The 24,233-nt window shown below is 39.2% G+C and overlaps 1 protein-coding gene across 1 annotated transcript in view, besides 1 other annotated feature; it reads right to left on the bottom strand.

The window, feature by feature from the left end:
- RBM33 (RNA binding motif protein 33) overlaps window positions 1-24,233 on the bottom strand; it is a 136,820-nt gene that overhangs the window by 99,501 nt on the left and 13,086 nt on the right. Inside the window, exons 2-5 of the mRNA NM_053043.3 lie at window positions 16,727-16,805; window positions 9,065-9,113; window positions 3,296-3,372; window positions 1,072-1,390 (exon numbers count right to left, since the gene is read on the bottom strand). Coding sequence (NP_444271.2) covers window positions 1,072-1,390; window positions 3,296-3,372; window positions 9,065-9,113; window positions 16,727-16,805 — 524 coding nt within the window. The remainder of the gene's footprint in view (window positions 1-1,071; window positions 1,391-3,295; window positions 3,373-9,064; window positions 9,114-16,726; window positions 16,806-24,233) is intronic.
- Window positions 4,675-4,724: an enhancer, noted in NCBI's record as "active region_26899". NCBI's record gives its function as "activates an Ori minimal core promoter by ATAC-STARR-seq in GM12878 lymphoblastoid cells {active_cell/tissue: GM12878}" and the evidence as "EXISTENCE:reporter gene assay evidence [ECO:0000049][PMID:35858748]".

The following is a 24,233-nucleotide window of genomic DNA, read 5'->3' as shown; positions in this document are numbered from 1 at the left end:
CACTGCACTCCAGCCTGGGCGACAAACCAAGAGTCCGTCTAGAAAAAAAAAAAAACTACTGAGACACCTAAATACAATCATGACTGGAACTAAATATTCAAAGGTTCCACATAAACAATTAATCCTTTTCAAAATTACTCATACACATGACCACAATTCAGCAACTTCTAAACTATTTTTTTGAAACAAAAGCTTCCTCCGAATGAAGATGTAAATACAGAAAAGCAAAGCTACTCCCATTGCAAATGGGCTCTTTAAGGCCCCAATTTTGCATACTTCTGTCACCATCCCAACAGCCCCATTCACTCGGCCCCCATAGTGTTCCCAAAAACCCTAAGATTCTACTACAGCTACTGAGATCACATCCTTCCCTCATAAATTTCGTTACATGCTTATTTTAAAAAACAAATCTCTTTTGATAATGAGTCATTTAAAGGTGAGAATCTTACACTAGTACATTTTTTCTTTCTTGTTGGTTCAACTTTGAAAAAAAAAAACTACCTACCAAAATCATCTTTCTGAAATAAAAAATCAGCACAATCTTGCTTCCTGATTATAGATAACGAATTATATGTGACATTTCCTAAACTAACCTCCAATCTCTTTATTCAGGTTTAGACAGTTCTCATCTACAAAAAGGATGAATGAACAGGACATCAATCACTCTGGAATATTAGCACCTTAAAGATGTCTTTAGCAGGTCAATAATCTTTTCGCCTTAGAAGGACTTTATCAGATCTTGTCTAAAGCCAGGATAAAAGCTCTGCATTAAGTACTCCTAACAATTGACAGTGTATCCCCACCACACAAAGCTGTTTTCTTCCTTAGGGTACAATCCTCAAGGTCACGATTCTTTGCAGCCTTCCAGAATGACAAAGGAGCATTACCTCTGGTCAAACAAGCTGTCAACACAAACTTTGTCATAGCTCAGATAAAGAAACTGGCAGAGAGTGATAATAAGGTCTAATTTCCCCTCCCTCCCAGGGGAGGTAAATAGATTTCAAATCAGTCTAGAAGCCTATGCATGGGAAGCCAGGTTATCTTTGGCCATACAAAGGAGAAAAGACTCACTGTAAATTCATCTAAAGGTTCATTGATCTCGATGTCTAACACTTCATCAGTGTAAAGCTGCTCCTCCTCTGGCTCTTCCACATATTCTATTTGGTCTTCTGTCAACTCAGCTTCGTGGCCTTCATACTGTCCTTCTTCTGGGTACTCTTGAGTATACAATTCTGATCCATCAGATTTGTGATAAACCAGTTCATCCTCTCCTTGTTCTTGTTCATACTCAGATTCCTGTTCTCCAGATTGGTCGTTAGTGTTGTCAGAGAGTTCAAATGATGTAACCATGCCAGATGTAGCATTCAGACTAATTGTAACACCCTGAGAACTAGAGAGGACGAAAATAAAAAAAAAAAGCACCCAATGAAGAGAGGAGCTCAAACTAAATCATTATATAAATAGCTGTTACAAAGATTTAAACCATGACTGATAAAAAGTTATTCCAGTTACTGACAAATGCACATTAACTCCAACAGTACTCAAAATGCTATACAGAGCCAGTGCCCTAAACCCTTAATGCGTACAGCAGAGCTAACTGTGCTATATGGAGCCGGCCACAGACTGGCAATGCATATAGCCCCTCTACTTATCACCAGCTGCAGGTTATTTGACCAAATGAATTAAATCAACCACAGATGAAACACATCTGAGTGGCAAAAGTCCAAGACTGAAATCAAATAGCCTATATTTCATTCTAATTTACAAAATGAAATAGACAGAAACTGCTAAGAGTTCAAAGTAAAAACAGGAGTATTATTCTATAAGGAGAAAATCAGAATCGGAATTTTAAGAACAATTTTTTTCTTACATCTGTGATAGAAATTATAAACTCCTGTTTAAGAAAATCAAAATATTAAAAATTTGTGTGAAAATACATTTCAGTGTTCAAATAAATAAATTTATATTAGTCACAAATATCTTTAAAAATTGTTCATAATTTCTAAGTAAAATAACAAAGGTTTTGAAACTGCAAAAAAAACATGTTCCACCTATTAAATCACAACAGTTAAATACCAAACAATAAGGTGCAAGATAACATTTCCCATGTAAGATCGTGCAAATCTGTGTTCACACATAGCACTCAATCCTAACAAAAAATTAATACACCTCTTAGACTTCAAGATACTGTGTCTAAAAAACTTCAATGATGTATTTCTAAAAGACAATCTAACTCAAAAGATTAAAATATAACAGTGATGTCAAAGAATGGAATTGGGAAATTTATCTGACTGGTAGAATAATTTAAAACTTATTTTTACCTGTAAAAATTACTTTATGTTAGAAAATCTGTTACAAATCCATGGCTCAATAATAAATGGCATATATTTGTTAATTACATTTATAACAAGAGCTTGTCTACATTTTCCCGATGTTTCCTCATAAAATAAAAACTATTATTCCACCTACCAGTGTGTCTCTCCTCTTTTAATATAGCTTACTATATGTCAACAGAAAGACATTCATCGTATCAGTCAACTAGAGTCTAAAGTAGCACCTCCCAAAGTGCCCAAAATGGTAATTCAGTAAATGATCTAAATCAACTGGCTAAAATGAAGACAAATGCAGCAGTATCGAACTGCAATGGTGTTGAGAGTCCCAAGCCACTGCCCTCCATCCGAGTAGAGGAATTCTTTAGAAAAGCAGCATATATCCATACTAAATCTTCATAACCTGCACTGAACAGAACTCACAGGGATCATTAAATGAAAGACCTACTGATTTTTTGTTTTTTGTTTTTTTTTTTTTAAGACGGCGTTTCACTCTGTCTCCCAGGCTGGAGTGCAGTGGCACAATCTCGGCTCACTGCAACCTCCACCTCTGTGGATCAAGCAATTCTCCTGCTTCAGCCCTCCAAGTAGCTGGGACTATAGGCGCGGGCCACTACGCCTGGCTAATTTTTGTATTTTTAGTAGAGACAGGGTTTCACCATGTTAACCAGGCTGGTCTCAAACTCCTGACCTCAAGTGATCCACCTGCCTCAGCCTCCCAAAGTGCTGGGTTTATAGGCACGAGCTACAACGCCTGGCCAAGAACTGCTTATTTTAAACAGCTGCTCTGTTTACAGAACATCCATATGGCTTCTACAGTTATTACTAGTATTCCATTTAGAATGTAATCATGTGTTAAAGATATAAGGCTACATTATTCAATTACATTCCATTATAATTATAAATAACAGTTCCTATCAATTTAGTTAAATAAAGAACATTTATAATGAGGTAATATTGAGTACCTGAAATTTTCTTCATCTTCATTATCACTCTGCAAAAGATCATCATTTAGCTCTTCATCTGACAAATCCGACTGATTCTAATTAAAATAAGAAATATAATTAATGTGTGTCACTTCCATAAAAAGACTTGTTAAAAAGCACAAAATTACACTGACTGAATTGTTCCTAGCCTTATATTAAAACGTTTGCCACCCGGAAGGCTTTCTGGTCACCAGTGGATAATCAAGAAATCCCACACAAGGCATGTGGATCCCTCCTGGGCTCAGCTTCAGGTGCCCAGGCAAGTTAAATGTAAAAACACCAAGTGTAACGATCACATTTATTCTCACACAAAAGAGAAAAGGTAAGAAGTCCATTGGTGGAAGCTTACGAACAAATAATATTTCCTTATAATACACAAAAAAAGAAAGATATCCTTAAGGTACTACTAAATTTAACATGCTAATATCCAAAACCTAAAGATTTTTTAAACAACACAAAAAGTGTAATTTTAGAAATAAGATTTAAATAACTGAATCATTAAATTGAAATGAGACTATAAAACTTTGGTTTTTCCAGTACAGATCACGTATGAAAATAAATGTTAGCAGCTCAGTTCCCCACTCCTGTTCTTGATGGTACTCCTACCTATAAGGAGAGAGAGCCTAGCTATTCTGTCAAGAGTTCCAGGTTTTCTTAGGTTATATATATTTGAGCATCTTAGATTAGGTTGGGGGGGTGTTATTCACACTGTCTCACTACTTATTCACACTACTTCACACGTTCCTCCCTTTTTAAAATTACTTATATGTATAAATGGTATATGTAAATTACTACTCCCTTCACGAAAGCCAGTCAAAGCCACACACACACTGTCATTCACACATATTCATTCTTAAAAAGTAAAGACAGAAAAATCAACTTGCTTTTCTTCTTAAAGGTGAACAAACAAGCAGTCTTTTTCTGGTAGTTACACCTTATAAAAACTTACCTGTATACTTTATTACAGTATTTCTGATAGCCAAAAATAATCTTATTAGCACTTCTTAGTCGCACAGGACTCAACCTAATCACTGACACCACAATAAGATAAAAATAAAATAACACAGGATACATACTCAGTTTATTTGCAGAAGGGAGAACAGATATGTGTGATAACAAAACGGACTGCTTAACTGACAGAAAATGAAGTTTCTGGCTGGGCGCAGTGGCTCATGCCTGTAATCCCAACACTTTGGGAGGCCAAGGCAGATGGATCACTTGAGGTCAGGAGTTCAAGACCAACCTGGCCAACATGGTGAAACCCTGACTCTACTAAAAGTACAAAAAATTAGCCAGGCGTGGTGAGGGGCGCCTGTAGTCCCAGCTACTCGGGAGGCTGAGGCAGGAGAATTGCTTGAAATCGGAAAGTGGAGGTTGCAGTGAGCCAATGCACTCCAGCCTGGGAAACAAGAACGAAACTCCATCTCAAAAAAAAAAAAAAAGAAAAAAAGAAAATGAAGTTTCCGTTAGGTGACCATATAATCTGTCATCCACACAGGGCCAGTTCTGAGACTGAAAGGAAATGCCATTATGAAAGTGAGAGCTATGAGCCAGGCCTACCACAGACAAACCTCAGTTTGGCTGTCCAACTCAGTAAATAAAACTTCAGGAAAGCTTTAAAAATTAATAATTCAATGAGAGACAAATTTCATTCGAGAGGCTGTTTCTCTGAGCTTTTTAGTTAAACTCTTAGTATTTCTCAAAAATCAATGAGCCAAGAAGGCATCAAGCAAATAGAAAGGGAATGTGTACTGTGGTGGGTGAGCCCTCGTGGGAGTCAAATCTCCTTTGAGGATTATTCAACTTTCCTCTCTGGCTTTTAAACCTACTAACAGACACAGGAGGTGATAAGCACAATATCCACTTCACTGAGAAAGCTGGAATGGAGAGCTAGGCTACATCCTTGAGGCCAAAGCTGATTTCAACACATCCTAAAGAACTGGAGCGAACAGTTTTCTCGGGCTCCAGGGGGTTCTGCTCAGGATGGTCTGCAGGAAATCAGGGCCACAGATCCCAAGAGATGAAGATAAAGTGGCCACAGATGCTAGTGAAATCCTTTCTCTCAATCTTTCCAAACAGGTCATTTCTCCCATGGGGAGAGAAACAAGTATGAAAGAAAAAGAATGGTTCTCTCCAATACTCCCAAGAACATAAAACCTTCATGGAATAGCCAGAGTTTAAAAATGGGAAGAAAATGGTTCCCAAAACATTCTCCAACACAGGCATCTATGAAACAGAGCCACCTCAATGTAACAGGAGAATGTCTGTCCAACACGAGTTGATGAAGTTAAATACAAAAGCTGAAGAAGGAACTGCAAGCTGGCAGCCAACTTCCACCTCACTCTTACCCACTTCCTAAAAGCTCTAGCCTGGTCACGTCAGCCTGCTTTAACCTCAGTTTGAAACCTTAATTATTTAAAACTGAGCACTAACAACCTTCTTGACACGAATGAACTTGTCCCTGACAGTCTGACCCGTGTGCCTTTCTCAGTACTATGCGCCTCCCTCGGGCTATCTGCGCCTTAGGAGTCTCTCCAAGCAAAGGCTCATCATTGTGCATTTCGTGGGGACCCCAGTGGGAGAAAAAAATTGTTCAGGTAGCCAGTGTACTCATCATGTGAACTCCATTCATAGACCCTGTAGTAATTAACTCGCTAATAAACACGTGAAAAAAAATTCCATTCTCACTAGAAATCAAATAAATAGAAATTAAACCAAGCAGAAATCATTTTTCATCTATCACACTGACAAAGATTCTTTTTAAAAAGTAGTATCGAACAGGGAATGGAAAATTGAGGGCAATGCTTATTCCCTGCTGCTAGGAACATAAGTGGATCAAACATTTCTGGAAGGTAAATTGGCAATACAAGACAAGAACCATTAAATGTTTCCACCCTCAGGCCAGAATTCCTCTTTACAGAAACTTCCTAAGAAAAAAATCCCAAAAGCATAGTAAGATTTGTCCATTAAAATATCATCATAATGCTTGAGATTTACATCAAAATGATTCAGGAGGTAGGGAGTGAGTGCGTAAACAGGAAGCAAAACAGCCTTTAACTAAAATTGCTGAGGCTGGACGACGGACACCTGAGAGTAAACGATACTGCCCTCTCCTCTTTTGTGTATGCTTGAGATCTTCCACAAAAAGGGTTTAAAAAAAAGTCATAAGCAATGAGCTGGAAACAACCTCAATGTACACAGGAGTGACTAGGGACACTGTAGCATATACAAACATTCAATGTTATGTTGCCATTATAAAATATTTTAAAATAACCCTAATGACAAGGGAGAAATGCCAATGATACAATGTTAAATTAAAAAAAAAGTAACGTTTTATATCTATAATTCTTTTTTTTTTTTTTTTTTTTTTGAGACGGAGTCTCACTCCGTCTCCCAGGCTAGAGTACAGTGGCGTGATCTCGGTTCACTGCAACCTCCGCCTCCCAGGTTCAAGTAAACCTCCCGAGTAACTGGGATTTCAGGTTCATGTCACCATGCCCGGCTAATTTTTGTATTTTTAGCAGAGACGGGGTTTCACCATGTTGGCCAGGCTGGTCTCCAACTCCTGACCTCAAGTGGTCCACCTGCCTCAGCTTCCCAAAGTGCTGGGATTATAGGCGTGAGCCACCATGCCCAGCCTATATTTTGGTCATATTTAAAAACACATGGGAAAAGAATAAAAGACAGATGGCAAAATGTTAGTCACGACTGTTTACATCTTTTTAAGGCTTTCTTTTTTTATATATTTTCAATGCCTTGATTCCTATAAGGTACAATGCATTTATTTTATGTTAGGAAAGAACAGAGAAGAGGAAATGAGAGACACATCTCCTGTTCCAAAGTAAACACACTTCCAAAATGTCCAAAGCAGATACAGCCCCTCCACTGAGGCGTCGGAATGCACTGTCACTGGGCATGCTCCGGTTCCAGCCCACATGAGCAACTTACAACAATCAGCTCAACTGAGAAAAGTAAGATGACTTCCCCCAGAACAGTCAGCATTACTGTCCAAACCAAATAGTATTTCTCCATCTTTATTGATAACAGTCCTGACCCCAAAGCTTTTATGAGAGGAGGTCACATGTAAATCAAAAGGGAATTATCACAGCTTTCTGGAAAGAAACACAGGGCAAACCATGACATGAGGCTTGCCTAGAGATAGAAATCCAACCTCATGGCAAAGTATTTTACTACATTTAAACCTTTTAATATCTAACTTATTCTCCATTAAAGCATCTTAAATACGAAGAAAAAAGTAGCCACTTTAGGTACAAAAATACAAGTGAGAGCACCTAGAAGAGTATGCAAAATAATTCCCCAATAGAGTATAAAAACAGGAGCCTTTTCCCCCAGTGACCATGACAAAGAAGGACTGAACATCCCACTCACACTCCAGACGTCACACTACAAGATGGACCAACTACGAGGCTCTCTCACTGGGCTTTCATGTTCAACTTATACGGATGTATTTCAGTTTACTCCTATTAAATCAGGTGGATTTACAACTAACTAACCACACTAACTCTTAAGTGTTAGAAGTGATGACAGAGCCATCTAAAGGAGGGAAAGCAGGGTTAGGCCAAAGCCAGGCGACCTGCAGGCTAATGATGCAGTAATCACTTCTAGAAGCTTGCAGTGAGCCAAGATGGTGCCACTGTACTCCAGCCTGGGCAAGAGTAAGACTGTGTCTCAAAAAAAAAAAAAAAAAAAAAAAAAAAAAAAACTAAGCCTAAACTATCTTGATAATGAGAACAGAAAGTGTTTTTAAACTGTTAATAAAATTTAAAAAATGTAGTATTTCACTTTCTCGCTATACATTCTACTTTTATGTGTTTTATAATGTCCGAAATATACTGGTAGGGGTGTGTGTGTGTGTGTGTGTGTGTGTGTGTGTGCGCGCATGCGCGCGTATATACACGTGTGTATGTATATATGTGTGTGTATATATATACACGTGTGTATGTATATATGTGTGTATATATATACACGTGTGTATGTATATGTGTGTATATATACACGTGTGTATGTATATGTGTGTATATATATACACGTGTGTATGTATATGTGTGTATATATATATACACGTGTGTATGTATATGTGTGTATATATATACACGTGTGTATGTATATATGTGTGTATATATATACACGTGTGTATGTATATATGTGTGTATATATATACACACGTGTATGTATATATATATGTGGGTATATATACACATACACACACACACACACACACACACACACACACACACACAATATATATAAATAGATATACAAATTTTTTATTTCATCAAAAAGATTTAGAAAAACCTACATTAGGTTTTAGACTTTTATTTATTTTAATGTTTATTATATTTGAGTATGTTTACCTTTAAGCTTATCTCTGAATGCCTCCAAAAAGTGAAATCCAGAACAAGTATGCAAAATATTCACCTCCAAATGTGACTTTCTGTTATGGCAAGGAATAACTCTATGTTAACGCTGTCACAATCCAGTAACTGCCAGAGTGCCTTGGACAAAGTAGGAACTAATCTTCAAGGATTTATTTCTTGAGTTATAATTACCAGAGAATTTACTAATAAACAGTCAATTCCCTGCGCACTTAAAAAATAATTCAGTTTACAAAATTTTAATCTATACCCAACTTTCCAGTAATGAAACCCATGTATAAGTGATTACTGCTGTATGTTAAGTATAATTAAATGACTAGTATTTCATCTCAGAAGGACATAAACTTCTTACCTTTTTGCCAGATAGCAAATCTTCTCCAAGTAAATCATCTTCAAGTTCACTTGGGAGAAAAAAAAGAGACATGTCAATGATTATTCCCATAAGACTTGCAAGTTTGTAGATCACTTGGAAATTTACCAAGAACTCTACAGCTCAGGTACCTTTTTTTTTTTTTTTTTTTTTGAGACAAAGCCTCACCGTGTTGCCCAGGATGGAGTACAATGGTGCAATCTCAGCTGACTGCAACCTCTGCCTCCCAGGCTCAAGCAATTCTCCTGCCTCAGCCTCCCAAGTAGCTGGGATTACATTATGCCCGGCTAATTTTGTGTATCTTTAGTAGAGACGGGATTTCACCATGTTGGCCAGGCTGGTCTCGAACTCCTGACCTCATGATCCGCCTGCCTTGGCCTCCCAAAGTGTTGGGATTACAGGCATGAGCCACCATGCCCGGCCAGCTTGGATACTTTTACATTAAGTTTGCTATGCTTTCCTCTTTCTTTATTAATAATAAAAATGTATTTTCAAATGCACAGAGAACATTTTATCTTTTTAAGTATGGGGAGGCTTTGCTATAGGTAGTGCCTCACTATACTTCTAATCTTAGTTTTGTACCTTAATATGGGATCTTAATCTCTTTGGGTCTGTTGAATAATCAGTAAAAGCAGAAACTGTAATATAGTAAGTCATATCTAAGCTTTCTCCTATCTTTAAAAACCTTAATGAAGAAGGAAAAGATGCACAATATAATTGATTAGGAAGATAAAAACCAAAACCACTAGAGACCGTTTGACATTCATCAAACCAAAAGAAACTGAAAAAAAAAATAAATTTTAAAAACGAACGAGAACATAAAATCAAATCACAGTAACTAAGGGAAATTAGCTTTGTATAACATGGATGTCGTATCAGTGATTTGCAATTTTTTCTAGCATATTTCTGTTTTAAATGATTAGAAGCCGGCTTTCTCCCTATTTTTACAACTAAAACAGAAACCCTTAGCAAATAAAAAAGCTGAAGACATTTTCCACTGCATTTATTAGAAACAAGATTTTTTTAGTTGATAAAAATGGCTACCACTAGATCATGTTTTTAATTCTGGGGAAATCAATCTCTTGGAAGCAAATATCATTAAAAGTCAACATACAGAAATATACAAAGAGGAAATACAATTAGATGGACTGTAACTCTAGGTGCCAATACTCATGGAGATTTAACTGCATCGATATTGTTATTAGAATTGCTGCTTTATTTTTAATAGGTGCTCTGGTTACAAAATTCTATAGGTATTGAGAAATCAGCAAAACCATTATTTTACCAAAAAATCATGTTTATTTTTAGCATGCCACTTTGCAGAATACTATAATCTCCGGGAATGCATATATGGAGTTATAATGAAATGCATGTTTCTATATAACGCCTTTTAGAACTAAAAACAACCTGACAAATCATTTAATTCATGCACTAAAGACTTTATTCGTTATTTTAAGTTATCCTCCAGTAAGTCCTATATTACATTTTACAGATAAAGAAAACAAGGATAGGACATGAAATAACTTGCCTAAAGTCACACAGCAGTGACAGATGCAGGACAAGAACTTAACAGCCCTTGAAAAACAATCTTTCACAAACTCCTATAGGATAGTTATAAGAGAATAACATATAGCTTCTTCCAACATTTTAAAACCACTATCATCTATCAAATACAATTTTTGTATCTTCAGTGTTCCAACTACCCTCCAGAGGCAGGGAGAAAACAATGCTGTCTAGTCAACAATATTTACAATAACCCCATTTGAAAATTTGATTCCAGATAACCAAAAACACACAAGCACCTCTTTTAAAGACAGGCACTCGTCTATACCATCACCTTAAGTAACTAAAAATGGAATGTGATGCCAGTTTCCCAGGGCAAACTGACAAAGTCATAAAAACAGGCATTAGTAATTATACAAGCAAAAATCTAGAAAGTATCTGTGCCTCTTGCTGACAAGTACATGGAAATAAATCAACCTTTAATAACTACTTATTTTTTCTCAACGAAAACATTTTTAAAAAGATAAGTAAGTGTATCAACTATAAAATGAGTAGAGAAAATGAAGACTAGTACTTGTTTCATGACTAATGAGAAACAGGATGGGGGACAGTGGGATTCAGTACAGAACAACAGCAAGTATAAACAGCAGCCCCAGCGATCCACAGCATCCGCTCAATGCACTTCTGTGCCAGGCACCACTTGACATGTTCCACACACACGAGCTTTTCATTGACATAATACCCCTCTCAGGTAGACACACCGTTGCCATTTTCAAAATGTGAAAACAGAGACACTAAGATGCTAATTTGCCCAAGGTCATCCAGCTAGGAAGTGGTGACACCAGTGAGAGAATCCAAGTCCTAACTACTATGCACACACCCCACAGAAACTACATGTACTTTTCTTCTTGTCATCGTAAAGCTGGACCCTCACAAAGGATGTACACATAAGGAATAAATTTATTACATATGTAAAACTACATCCACTCTTGGCAAAAACAACAATGAACTAATGGAAATGACTGGTCTCCATCTGGCAGTTTCAAAGGGGTGAGCAGTCACTCTGGCTGGCAGCAGCAGTAAGTGTTCTAGGAAATCAAACAAGCACTGGGCTGATGAAGAGGCTTCCTGTGTTCAATTCTAGAGTTCCCTAAAGATTCCACCAGTAATCACTACTTGAGTACGAACAATCTTTCTGGCAGGCATTTCTTATTAAAGCTTACAGACAATGAGCTCTTTGAAAGCAAGTATATTTTTACTTAGAAACAGAAGTTATCCTCAAAGACGTTTTTCAGGAAACAAGTATTTGTTGTCAGCCACTTGGCTACAGCCTTTCAAAACCAGAAGTGAACTTGACCACTGTAAGTGGGGCTGTAGTCTCTGGGTCCTCCCCACTCTAGTCCACTCTCCGTCTTACCTGCCTGCTCTGTGGCTGGATTGCGTCCTCCAGGAGCAGCTGGCACAGCCGGTCCTAACCTCTGGCTTCCAGATGGATTCGCCCATTGGGACGCACCAACATAACGTCACCAAGTAGGAGGAGAAAGACCGGCCCCTCCCCTCTCACCTGAAGAAATAGAGACTACAGTATCCCTCCCCCAACAGCCTTCACTGGGCCCTAGGACACCACTTCCCACAAGGCCGGGGCAGGAACTGGTACTCCCTGGATGGGAATGAACTCATTAGTTCTTTAACCCTGGCCTGTAAATAGACCCGTCATTAAATTTCTTCAGTTAAAACTTTTTGGGCCAGGCATGATGATTCACACCGTAATCTCAACACTTTGGGAAGCTGAGGTGGTTGGATCACCTGAGACCAGGAGTTCAAGACCAGCCTGGCCAACACGGCGAAACCCCTTCTCTACTAAAAATATAAATATTAGCCAGGCACGGTGGCACATGCCTGTAATCCCGGCTACTCGGGAGACTGAGGCATGAGAATCGCTTGAACCTGGGAGGTAGAGGTTGCAGTGAGCTGATATCGCACCACTGCACTCCAGAGCAGACTCTGTCTCAAAAAAACAAAAACAAAAACAAACAAAAACTTTTTGAGTGGGTATCTCTTTCTTGCCTGGACACATGAGACATTCATATCTTTAAAAAAAATAAATAAAACACAATTTCAGGTGTTGGTTCAGCAATGACATCATATTCTTCCAAACACCACTACCAGTACAGCATGGCAGAAGAACTTACCATAGTAATTCCTGACCCACTCTTCTCACCTTCCAAGTGTCTCTCTCTGTGTCATGCAGCACACAGAGAGGCTGTCTTATGCTTAAAACATCAAAAAAGAAATACATGTGGCAAAAGCTTCATAGATGCAAACACGTCACTGAAGACAGTAAAAAAAAGAGCTCGTTCACAAACAATATGAAACAACTGCAATTCATAATACGGTAAACAATAAAACCTAGAACCGTCTCACACCATGACCAAAACAAGTTCCATCATAGCAGAAAGCAAGACAGCTGCCAAAGACATCTAAAGTCATGTCAAATGGACACAGGAGCCAACCTGAAGAAATTCCAGTTGAACAAATATCAGGCAATGTAACCACCAATAAAGATACGAAACGACAATGGATTCAACACAACCAACATTTAAATCTATGATTTCAAAATGATTCAAAAACAAAACTCATCCCTGCAAGTGCTAGGGCTGACTTCTTAGTTTGAAACTTGGTAAACAACAGGAAAGACTCAATCACTTACCCTGTCTTTTCTATGTAATCTCTACCTCAAGAACGAACTAGTTTACAGTACTATTAGGTAGTATATTAGTGTACTAGTACTACAGGTAACAGGAAAAGCAGAGGTATCACCACGCAAAGTTCACCAGCCCCCAAGGAGCTTCCGATGAGGAACACAGCAATACTTACTACACTGCCACACCCCGGCCCCTCCCCCAAGTTCAAACCTGAATCCCATCCACTTCTATTAACTCACATAAAATATCAGCAGCTAAGGGGCACACTAAAAACACCTCAGGGAGTGCAATCAGCAAAAGGAAAAATTCTAGAAGACACGCTACCTTGCTTCTTCAACAAAAATTGCATGGAACTAAAATAAGATGGGGGAGAACCTGTACATGAAACAACACTTGAAAGACATACCCATCAATGACCATGTGCGCCCAATTCAAACCATCAAAAAGCACACAGACACATATCCACACTGTGTAAGTGACAGTATACTAATACATATATTTAAAATATGTGTGTATACATATGTATGTAGATATATATGCGTCTACATACGTATACATAGACACACACACAAATATAAGAGACAATCGGAAATGTAAACACTAAGATATTTACGTAATAAGGAATTTTTTTAGATATAGTAACTATTGTGGCTATATTTTAAACCGTTTATTTTTTAGAAAAATATATTCTGAAATTTTTTCAAAAATTTTGTGATTTGAGGGGGCTGCAGAGAGTATGGATAAGAGATTGGCTATATGCTGATAACTGGTGAAACTGGAAGATGGTACATTGGGTTCACTGTACTAGTCTATTTTCACATATGCTTGAACTTGTTAGTAACTAAAAATCAATCAATTCAATCAATTTCAGGCAGACTGTATAGCTATTTAAAAAAATTACAACTTTCATAGACACATGCAGGAGATATCTAGAATACAAGGAAGGGAAGAATTTCTTAAGGACAAAAAGCACAAACCAATTTCCTGTGCCTCCTGAAGTGGGCACTCAGGAGGCCACACATCATCTACTCTGACCACAATGCACAGCCCGCATTTAGTCACAATGGACCACCAGCAAACCCAAGATAAATGGCCTGTCAACGTCATAAAAGACAGGCTACAGAATTCTTCCACATTAAGAAATGATGAAAGAAAAATGCAATGTATGATCCTGAATTGAATCTTGAATCAGAACAAAAAATTCTTTTGGGGGTATAAAGGAAATTATTGAGACAACTGAAAACAATCTGAATAACCACTGTAGAATAAAAATACAACTGGGCACGGCACACTAGCTCACGCCAATCCCAGCACTCTGGGAGGCCAAGGCAGGAGCATCACTTGAGCCCAGGAGTTCCTGCTTGCTATGATCACGCCACTACACTCCACCTGCGTGACAGAGAAACACCCTGTCTCCAAAACAACAACAATAAACCTCACATATATAGAACTGGATGTCTGATAAACTTCCTGACTTTAAAAATTATACAATATTTATATAAGTGAAAGTTCCTGTTTTGCGGGAAATACATGCTAAACAATACTGAAGCATTCGGAAGTGGCATGACACCTGCAACCTACTGTCAAATGGTACAGGAAAGAAAATTTTACATATACAGTATATCCATGTACGTAAACAATTAGAATGACAACATAAGTTGACAAAAAGCAGTTCATGAGTGTAAGAGAAGGTCAAGTGGGAGTTTCTGTATTATTCTTGCAACTTTCTTGGAAGTCTGAAAGGGTTTCCAAATACATTTTTGTTCATGTTTTAATAAAAAAAGAATAAAAACTACACAGAAAAAAGATTATACATCTGACTGTATTCTTCTCAAAAATCTAGTCAAAGACTATTTTTTAAGGAAACACATGCCACAGACTGGGAGGAGATACTTATAAACAATAAAAATAAATTTCCAGTAAGTATAATATAAACAGTCCCTAAAATCAATAAACAAAAGACAAACAACCCAAAAGAAAAAACAGATATGAACAGACCATTCAAAGAGGAACTCCAAATAATGAGTAAGCTATTGAAAGACCCACTTAATATTTTATTCAGCTCACCATCACAGTCTTTTAATCAAAACTAGCTTTAGTACTTACTAGTAAGACCATTTCTTTTCTAGGAAAGACATCGTTTTTAAGCACTATCTAACTTTTAGAATGCATACTGGCTGATTTTGTGCGACAGCTTGACTGGGATAAGAGATGCCCAGCTACCTAACAAAATATTATTTCTGTGAAAGTCCATGAGGGTGCTTCCAGAGCTGATTAGCAATGAGTCCACAGACTGAGTAAAGAAATCCATCCTCACCAATGTGGGCAGACATTACCCAAAAAGTTGGAGTTGGGCAAATTCACCCTCTTCTTGAGCTGAGCTATCTTCTGCCCTCAGACATGGGTGCTCCTGGTTCTCAGGCCTCCAGGCTCAGATAGGGACTTCCATGACTGGCTCCCCTGGTTCACAGAACACTGGGCTCAGACTGGAACTACACCATTCTACAGACCGTGTAACTTCTCAGTCTCCATAATCACGTGAGCCAGTCCTTCATAATGAATCTTTCTACATATATTCTTTTGGTTCTGCTCCTCTGGAGAATCCTGACTAATACACTGCATGAGTCACTAAAGAGCAATCAGCTTTATGTGAACTGTAAGGGCCTCATAGTTCTCAAGTTAGATTATTCTATAAAACTTCCAGATGTGACACTGCCGTTTTCAAATTGACTGCAGCTTCAAAGTAATTGTTACATTTTCTCAACACAGTATTTAAGGTGTTAAAAAAGTTATAAAGAATAACCATCATTTCTCAGCCCCACCACCCAGATTAAGCCCCACTGTGTATTTCTCCCAGAACACATCTCTAACCTCTATTATTAACTCCTTGCCAGAGGTAACCACTATATCAAACTACCATCTATCATCACTGTGGATTTTTAAATTGTGTTTGTGTGTATTCCTAAACAGGTCATTTTCATCCATTCCTAAACAGGTATTTTCATCTTCACTGGTAACCAGGAAAATGAAAGTTAAAATTAGTGAAATACCATCTACACATATTAGAATGGAAAAAACGTTAAAGTGTAGCCAGATATTCAGTACAAAGTAGAGCTTAAAGAACTCTGGCACAAGGCCACTCCAGTAATGGTTCTGGGTGTCCACAAAGTCAGTATCATTACTGTACAAAAACAAAGAAAAAGGACAGAAGACCTATGATCTATTGGCAGCCCTCCACACAACACAGGCCTGGAACAGGAGCACACCTCAGCCTTCTGCATGGAGAAGCTTCACTTTAGCTCAGGAGGGACAGCCCCACTCAAGAGAGAGCGCCAGGTAGTCAAGGTGCTGCGTTCAGTAAAGATCCCTCAGGAGCCAAGTGTCAGAATGAGAGAGATCGGCACAGGCAGTTAGGTGAAGCACAGGGTGCACGTACCTGTCCCAGTCCTCATCAGCAGCTCTTCTTCTCCACGACCGTTCCGCGCCAGGCTTATCAAACTGGTCAAAGTCATCATCTATGAGAACAGTCCATTGAAGTCAGTTTTACTAAGTTAAAATAGACACAATGCAAATAATTCAAACACTAAAACAACTTTTTTAAGGATTCCTGACTTGACATTTTAAATTACAAAAGTTTCATATGTAACTATCATTTTACTTTAGCCATTTTTAATAATGAAACATCTTTAAAAACACAAAGCTATCCAAGAAAACCAACTTATTGAACATTATTGGGCATGAAAAATCACTAACAGGTTTTCAAAAAAAAAAACCTCAAATGTTATTAAAGTGTTTTCTTTATAAAATGGGTTTTGAGTGTTTTTTTACTGCATGAAAGAAAAAAAATGTGACATGCTAAAAAGTTAGAGACTTTCATAATACTTTTTGTAATCGTCACACTTTTCCAAATCATGGAAAGCTAAGATTCCATTTAAGCAAAATAGAGATAATGCAGAGATGTGCTGAGCAACGGAAATATAAGCACACACCTAATTCTAGGTTTTCTAGTAGCCACATTTATAAAAGGTAAAGAGAAATAGGTGAAACTTCAACAGACGATATTTTAACAATATATTTTATTTAACATACTATATCCAAAATATTATCACAGTATGTATGGCTGGGCGCGGTGGCTCATGCCTGTAATCCCAGCACTTTGGGAGGCCGAAGCGGATGGATCAGCTTGAGGTCAGGCGTTTGAGACCAGCTCGGCCAACATAGCAAAGCCCCACCTCTACTAAAAAAATACAAAAAAAAAAAAATCAGCCAGGCACGGAGGTGCACGTCCGTAGTCCCAGCTATCCCAGCTACTTGGGAGGCTGAGGCAGGAGAATCGCTTGAACCGGGAGGCAAAACTGCAGTGAGCGGAGATCGCGCCACTGCACTCAGCCTGAGTGACAGAAACTCTGTCTCAAAAAAAAAAATGTATATACACACACACACACATATATATATATAAGTCATAATGTGTACTCAATACAGGAAATATTAACAGCATATTTTACATTTTTTCCATACTAACTGCTTATTTTGCACACACAGCACATCTCTCATCTCAATGTGAACAAGCCACATTCCAAGTGCTTGGTGCCATGTGTGGCAAGTAGCTACTGAAATGGACAGTGAAGAAAGGGCAATTAAGAGCAGAGCCCTTTAGAGGCCTGTTTCTTTTTCTGTAAAAATGAAGCTATTATCTACTTCATAAATTTGCTGGAACACTAAATTTGACAACGTATTTTAAAATACAAGAACTGACAAATGGGTGGCACCTGACAAAGTTATCTTTATTCCTAGTAAACAAAGAATTGAAATTAAAGGTTTTCATCTCAGACATACATACAAGCAAAGAAATCTGAGAGACAGCAGAGCATAGATCTCTCTCCCCAGAAAGAGTCTACCTAGGGGCAGGTGGTTGGGGTAGGTAGGGCCAGATGATATAAACACCTATAAAGCCTCAGGAATTTTCCGAGCCTGGAGCTGGAAATCAATCAAGTTCTACCAAAGTAATATATATACTCTTACCAAACACTACTGATACAGTTTGAATATACATCCCTGCAAATCTCATGTTGAATTGTAATACCCAGTGTTGGAGGTGGGGCCTGGTGGGAGGCGTTGGGGTCCCGGGGCAGATCCGGCATGGCTTGGTGCTGCCCTCACCATAGCCAGTGAGCTCTCTGGATATCTGGTTGTTGTAAAGTGTGGCACCCCTCCCCGCCTCTGCTCACCCTCTTGCTCCTTCTTTTGCCATGTAAGGTAAGTGCCTGTTCCTGCTTGGCCTTCCACCATGAGTAAAAGCTCCCTGAGGCCTCCCCAGAAACTGAGCAGGCGCTGACACCACACTTGTACAGCCTACAGAACCATGAGCCAATTAAGCCTCTCTTCTTTATGAATTACCCAGTCTCCAGTATTTCTTTATAGCCCTGTGAGAATGGCCTAATACAATTACCAAACAGAACAAGTGCTTTAAAAAAAAAAAAGAAAGAAAGAAAAGAAAATCCAAGAATTAAAGACATTAAAGAATTAATAGCCTCAGGAAGTTCCACTTCCAATATGACAGAATGAGGAGCTCCATGGGTCCTCTCCCTGTGAGCCTGGTGAAAACTGTTTTATAAAATAACTACTTAAAGTCTCTAAGAATAATTCTAAGGACATACAACAAATGAAAAGACACTTATTCCAGAAATCTACCAAAAATCTGGCAAGAATGGCAGCAAGAATTAATGGGTTTTAAACCAGGACCCACCCCTCTTCATCCTTGAAACTCAGTAATGCTAAGACTCCACTCCAGACCAGTGCAGCCAAGAACACAGGACGCCCTCCCCACTCAGCTCCCAGCTGGAGGACAAGGACCTCGTCCGCATTTTCCATCCCACCCCCACCTACCCATTGTTGAGGCTGAATTCTGGGTGACTGTTACTGAGACATGTGGGCTCCTTTCTTCCACTCAGGTCCCACTCATGGAACAGACACTGCTGGAACCAGAGAACCCCTGCCCTGGGTCAAGGGCTGGGGGTCCCACACCAAGAAAGTCAAATTGAGGAGACCTGGGGCTGCTGCTTTCCCCCAGTTCCCAGGCACTCAGCTCCTAAGGCAAGGGTATCACCCAGAGACTGGTACACCACTGTCCACAGCCACAGCACAAATGCTGTGGCTCAGAGCGGGGGGGGCGGGGTGAGGAAGCAGACATTTAGAACAAGAGTGCTCCAAAACTCTCCAAAGAAACTGACTTCAAGCCAAAGAGTGCTCCCAAAAACAGTGAGGGAGAGTTCTGGTGAGAGCTAACTGGGAAGAGAGTGGTAAAAGCAGCTGGAAATATGGCCAGAATGTAGATGAGCTGCTGTGCTGGAGAGAAATGGGGACACAGACAGGTGAGGAGGGCCCCTGCTTGGGTCAGAACAAATCTCAAACACGAACCATGGACAGTATCCATTCAAAGGAGCCTGAATGTGATGGGCTCAATTTATAAAGCAATTTATGCCCCAGAGCATTACGGAAGGTGTGCTCAGAGAGAGACAATCAAAGCCATGACAACCATCCCAGGGTAATCCTTGGGCATGCCCAAGGCTGTGGTCACTGCGGAGCAACATCAGAAGCTTCGGCGGAGGGGTGAACACTTCATTAAAATAACCCAGCCAGTCAACAAAGGAGTGAAGAAGCAAATAACAGTAATTAGCCCAGGGGTGGGAGAACAGGGAGACCAGCACCCAGAGTTGCTACAACATATTATCTAAAATGTCCAGACTTCAACAAAAAATTACAAGATATGGAAGAAACAAGAAGATATATAACCTATAATCCAACGACAACAAAAAGCAGGCAACATAAACTGCATGTGAGAGGATCAGGCGTCAGATTTCATAGAAAAAGATCTGTAAGTAGCCATTATAAATATGTTCAAAGAATTAAATGAAACCATGATCAAAAAACCGAAAGAAAATATGATGACAGTGTCAGGTCAAATAAAGAATATGAATAAACAGGCCAGGTGCAGTGGCTCACACCTGTAATCCCAGCACTTTGGGAGGCCAAGGCAGGTGGATCACTTGAGGTCAGGAGTTCGAGACCAGCCTGGCCAACATGGCGAAACTCCGTCTCTACTAAAAATACAAAAATTAGCCAGATGTGATGGCACACACCTGTAATCCCGGCTACTCGGGAGGCTGAGCCAAGAGAATTGCTTGAACCCAGGAGGCAGAGGTTGCAGGGAGCCGAGACCACACCACTGCACTCCAGCCTGGGCCACAGAGCAAGACTCTGTCTGGGAAAAAAAAGAAAAAAAAAGAAAGAAAAAAAAAAAACCACTTCAGGAGGCCAAGGCAGGGGGATCATGAGACCATGCTGGCCAACATGGTGAAACCTGTCTCTACTAAAAATACAAAAATTAGGTGGGTGTGGTAATGCATGCCTGTAATCCCAGCTACTCGGGAGGTTGAGGCAGGAGAATGGCTTGAACCAGGGAGGCAGAGATTGCAGTGAGCAGACATTGCACCACTGCATTCCAGCCTGGCAAGAGTGAGACTCTGTCTCAAAAAAAAAAAAATATATATATATATATACACACACACACACACACACACACACACACACACCACACACACACACAGAAATTATTTTTAAAAACCAAATAGAAATTCTGAAATTGAAAAATAACTAAAATGAGTTCATTAGAGGGGCTCAGTAGTAGATGTGAACTAGCAGACTTAGTAAACTTGAAAACAGATAACAGAGATGACATAATCCAAAGAACAGAAATCAGAAAATGAAAACTGAACACAGCCTCAAAGAAATGTGGGGCCATCAGGAGGCACAACAATATACGTGTAATGGGAGCACCAGAAGGAGAGGACAGACAGGAGAAGGAAAAAATACTCAAAGAAATAATGGCTGACAACTTCCAAAAGGTACTGGAAAATATTTATCTATACATCCAGAAGGCTCAACAAACTCAAATGATAATAAACTCAACGATTTACAAACACACACAACGTAGTCAAAATGTTTCGAAGCCAAAGACACAGAAAAAACCTTGAAAGCACCAAGACAAAAATGACTCATCACCTACAATGGAAGTGCAATAGTTGATTCTCATCAAAACAGAAGCAGCCAGAGGCAGTAAGATGACCTATTCAAAGTGCTCAAAGAGTCCCAAATCCACCAACATGATCTTTCATAAAGACATTCACAGATGAACAGAACAGGAAGAAATCTGTTGCTGGCAGAACTGCTTATAACTGGTTGAATTGTATCCCCAAAAAATATATGCTGAAGTCTTACCCCTCCTTCTGCCACCTGTGAATGTGATTTTATTTAGAAACAAGGCCGAGCATAGTGACTCATGCCTGTAATCTCAACACTTTGGGAGGCCAAGGTAGTCGCTTGAGGCCAGGAGTTCAAGACCAGCCTGGGCAATATATCCAGATCCTACCTCTACAAAAAACTTTAAAACTTAGCTGGGTGTGGTGGTGCACACCTGTAGTCTCAGCCATTCAGGAGGTTGCAGTGGGAGGACTGCTTGAGCCCAGGAGGCAGAGGGTGTAGTCAGTCAGCTATGACTGACTCACTGTAGTCTAGCCTGGGCAAAAGAGCAAGCCCCTGTCTCTAAAACTGAAAAAGCTATTTACAGATATAATCAAGTTCGGATGAGATCACACTGGATATTAAAGAGGGCACTAAATTCAATGACGACTGATGTCTACATAAGGAGAGGGAGATTTGGGGACAAACAGACACATACAGAGGAGAAAGGTCATGTGAAGCCAAAGACTTGAGTTATGCTGCCATAAGCCAAGGAATGCAGGAAGCCAACAAAAGCTGGAAGAGGCAAAGGATTCTCCCCTAGAGGCTTCACAGGGAGTGTGGCCCTGCTGGTACATTAATATGGACTTCCGGTCTCCTGACCTGTGAATAAATTTCTGTTGTTTTAATATATCCAGTGTGTGGTGTACTTGGATGTATAGATTCCTATCTTTTAGCTATATATTTGTATATGAATTTGGCAATTTTCAGCCATTATTTCCTCAGATTTTTTTTCTGTCAATTTCTTGCTCTCGTGGGTCTCCTATGTGTATATAAGTACACTTGGTGGTGTCCCGTAGGTCCTTTAGACTCTGTTCATTTTTATGCATTGTTTTGTCGTTCTGCTCTTCCAATGGGATCATCTCAATTGACCTTCAAGTTTGCTGATTCTTCTGCTTGCTCAAATCTGCTACTGATCCCCTCTAAAGAGTTTACTTTAGCTACTGTACTTTTGAGTTCCAGAAGTTGTTTCCTTCTAATAATTTCTTTATTAATATTCTCTACTTCTTCATATATCATTCTCCAGATTTCCTTTAGCTTTTTGGTTCATAGTTTCCTAAAGCACGTTAAGCATATTTAAGAAGGTTAAAGCATCTGTCTAGTAAATCCAATGTCTGGGTATCCTTGTGGTTTCTATTTCTTTTTCTACTATGAATGGGCCATACTTTCAGGCTTCTTTCTATACAATGTAGTATTTTATTTACTATTTACTATTTAAAACTGGATATTCTGTACATTGCAATGTAGTAACTCTAGAAACCAGATTCTCCTTCCCCAGAGTTGCTGCTGTTACACAATGAAGGTTGCTGTCCATTTGTTTAATGGCTTTTTAAAACTACTATTTATTATATTCCTTAAGTGTGGTCACTGAAGTCTGTCTACTGTTATCTCCCTAATCAACCAGCGACCTGGTAGATTTCCTTAAATGCCTGCATCCAATAAAAAGGAAAAATGAACAAAGCTGAGGAGAAACTGCTTCAGCAGAGGGGGATGAAAATAACAGAGAGAGCCTCTGTACCAGCCCATCAGTGATGAAAACCAATGTTAGGTTCTCAAGTTCCAAAACGGTTGCTTCCAACAGTTCTTGCCAGGTCAATAGTTGTTCCACTGGAAGGACTGGCATCTGGCATTTCCCACTTGACTACCTTCTGTCACATCACAGACTGGCAGAGAGGATTAAAAACAAACAAGCAGCCGGGCGCGGTGGCTCACGCCTATAATCCCAGCACTTTGGGAGGCCGAGGCGGGTGGATCATGAGGTCAGGAGTTTGAGACCAACCTGACCAAGATGGTGAAACCCCGTCTCTACTAAAAATACAAAAACTAGCCAGGCTTGGTGGCGAGCGCCTGTTATCCCAGCTACTCAGGAGACTGAGGCAGGAGAATCACTTGAACCCCGCGGAGGTTGCAGTGGGCCAGAGGTTGCAGTGGGCCAAGATCACGCCACTGCACTCCAGCCTGGGCGACAGAGAGACACTCCGTCTCAAAAAAAAAAAAAAAAAAAAATCCAACTATATGCTGCCTATTAGAGACTCACTTTAGACCCAAAGACACTAATAAATTGAAAGTGAAAGGATGGAAAAAGATATTTCACGCAAATAGTAACCAAAAGGCAGCTGGCAAAGTTACACTAATATCAGATAAAATATTTTTAAATCCAAAATTGTTTCAAAAAGAAGGAATACTGTATACCGATCAAAGGGTCAATTCATCAAGATATAACAATTATAAACATATATGCACTGAAACAGAACACCAAAATTGATGTAGCAAATGTTGACAAAAATGAAGGGAGAAAGAGACTGATCTACATTAATACTTAGAGAATTCAACACCCCACTTTCAACAAATATGAAATCCAGGTAAAAGATTAATAAGGATATAGAGGACTCAAATACTATAAATCAACTAGACCTAACAGCCAATACAGGGTACTTGGACCAACAAGTGCAAAATATACATTATTTTTAAATGTAGAGGATGCACTGTCCCTGATACACGTTAGGCCAAAAAATAGTTCTTAATGAATTTTAAAACATCAAAAGTCATGCTTCATGAAAACAAGGAGCATTCCCTATCTATGAAAACAGAAGCAAAATCCCAATATTTTATAAGCTAAAAATTTAGCTTGTGACTTTTTTCTC

Source organism: Homo sapiens, chromosome 7 (assembly GCF_000001405.40).
Source record: "Homo sapiens chromosome 7, GRCh38.p14 Primary Assembly".
Lineage (NCBI taxonomy): Eukaryota > Metazoa > Chordata > Mammalia > Primates > Hominidae > Homo > Homo sapiens.
The sequence above is the reverse complement of the archived record's forward strand: the minus strand, read 5'-3'. Positions and strand labels throughout refer to the sequence as shown.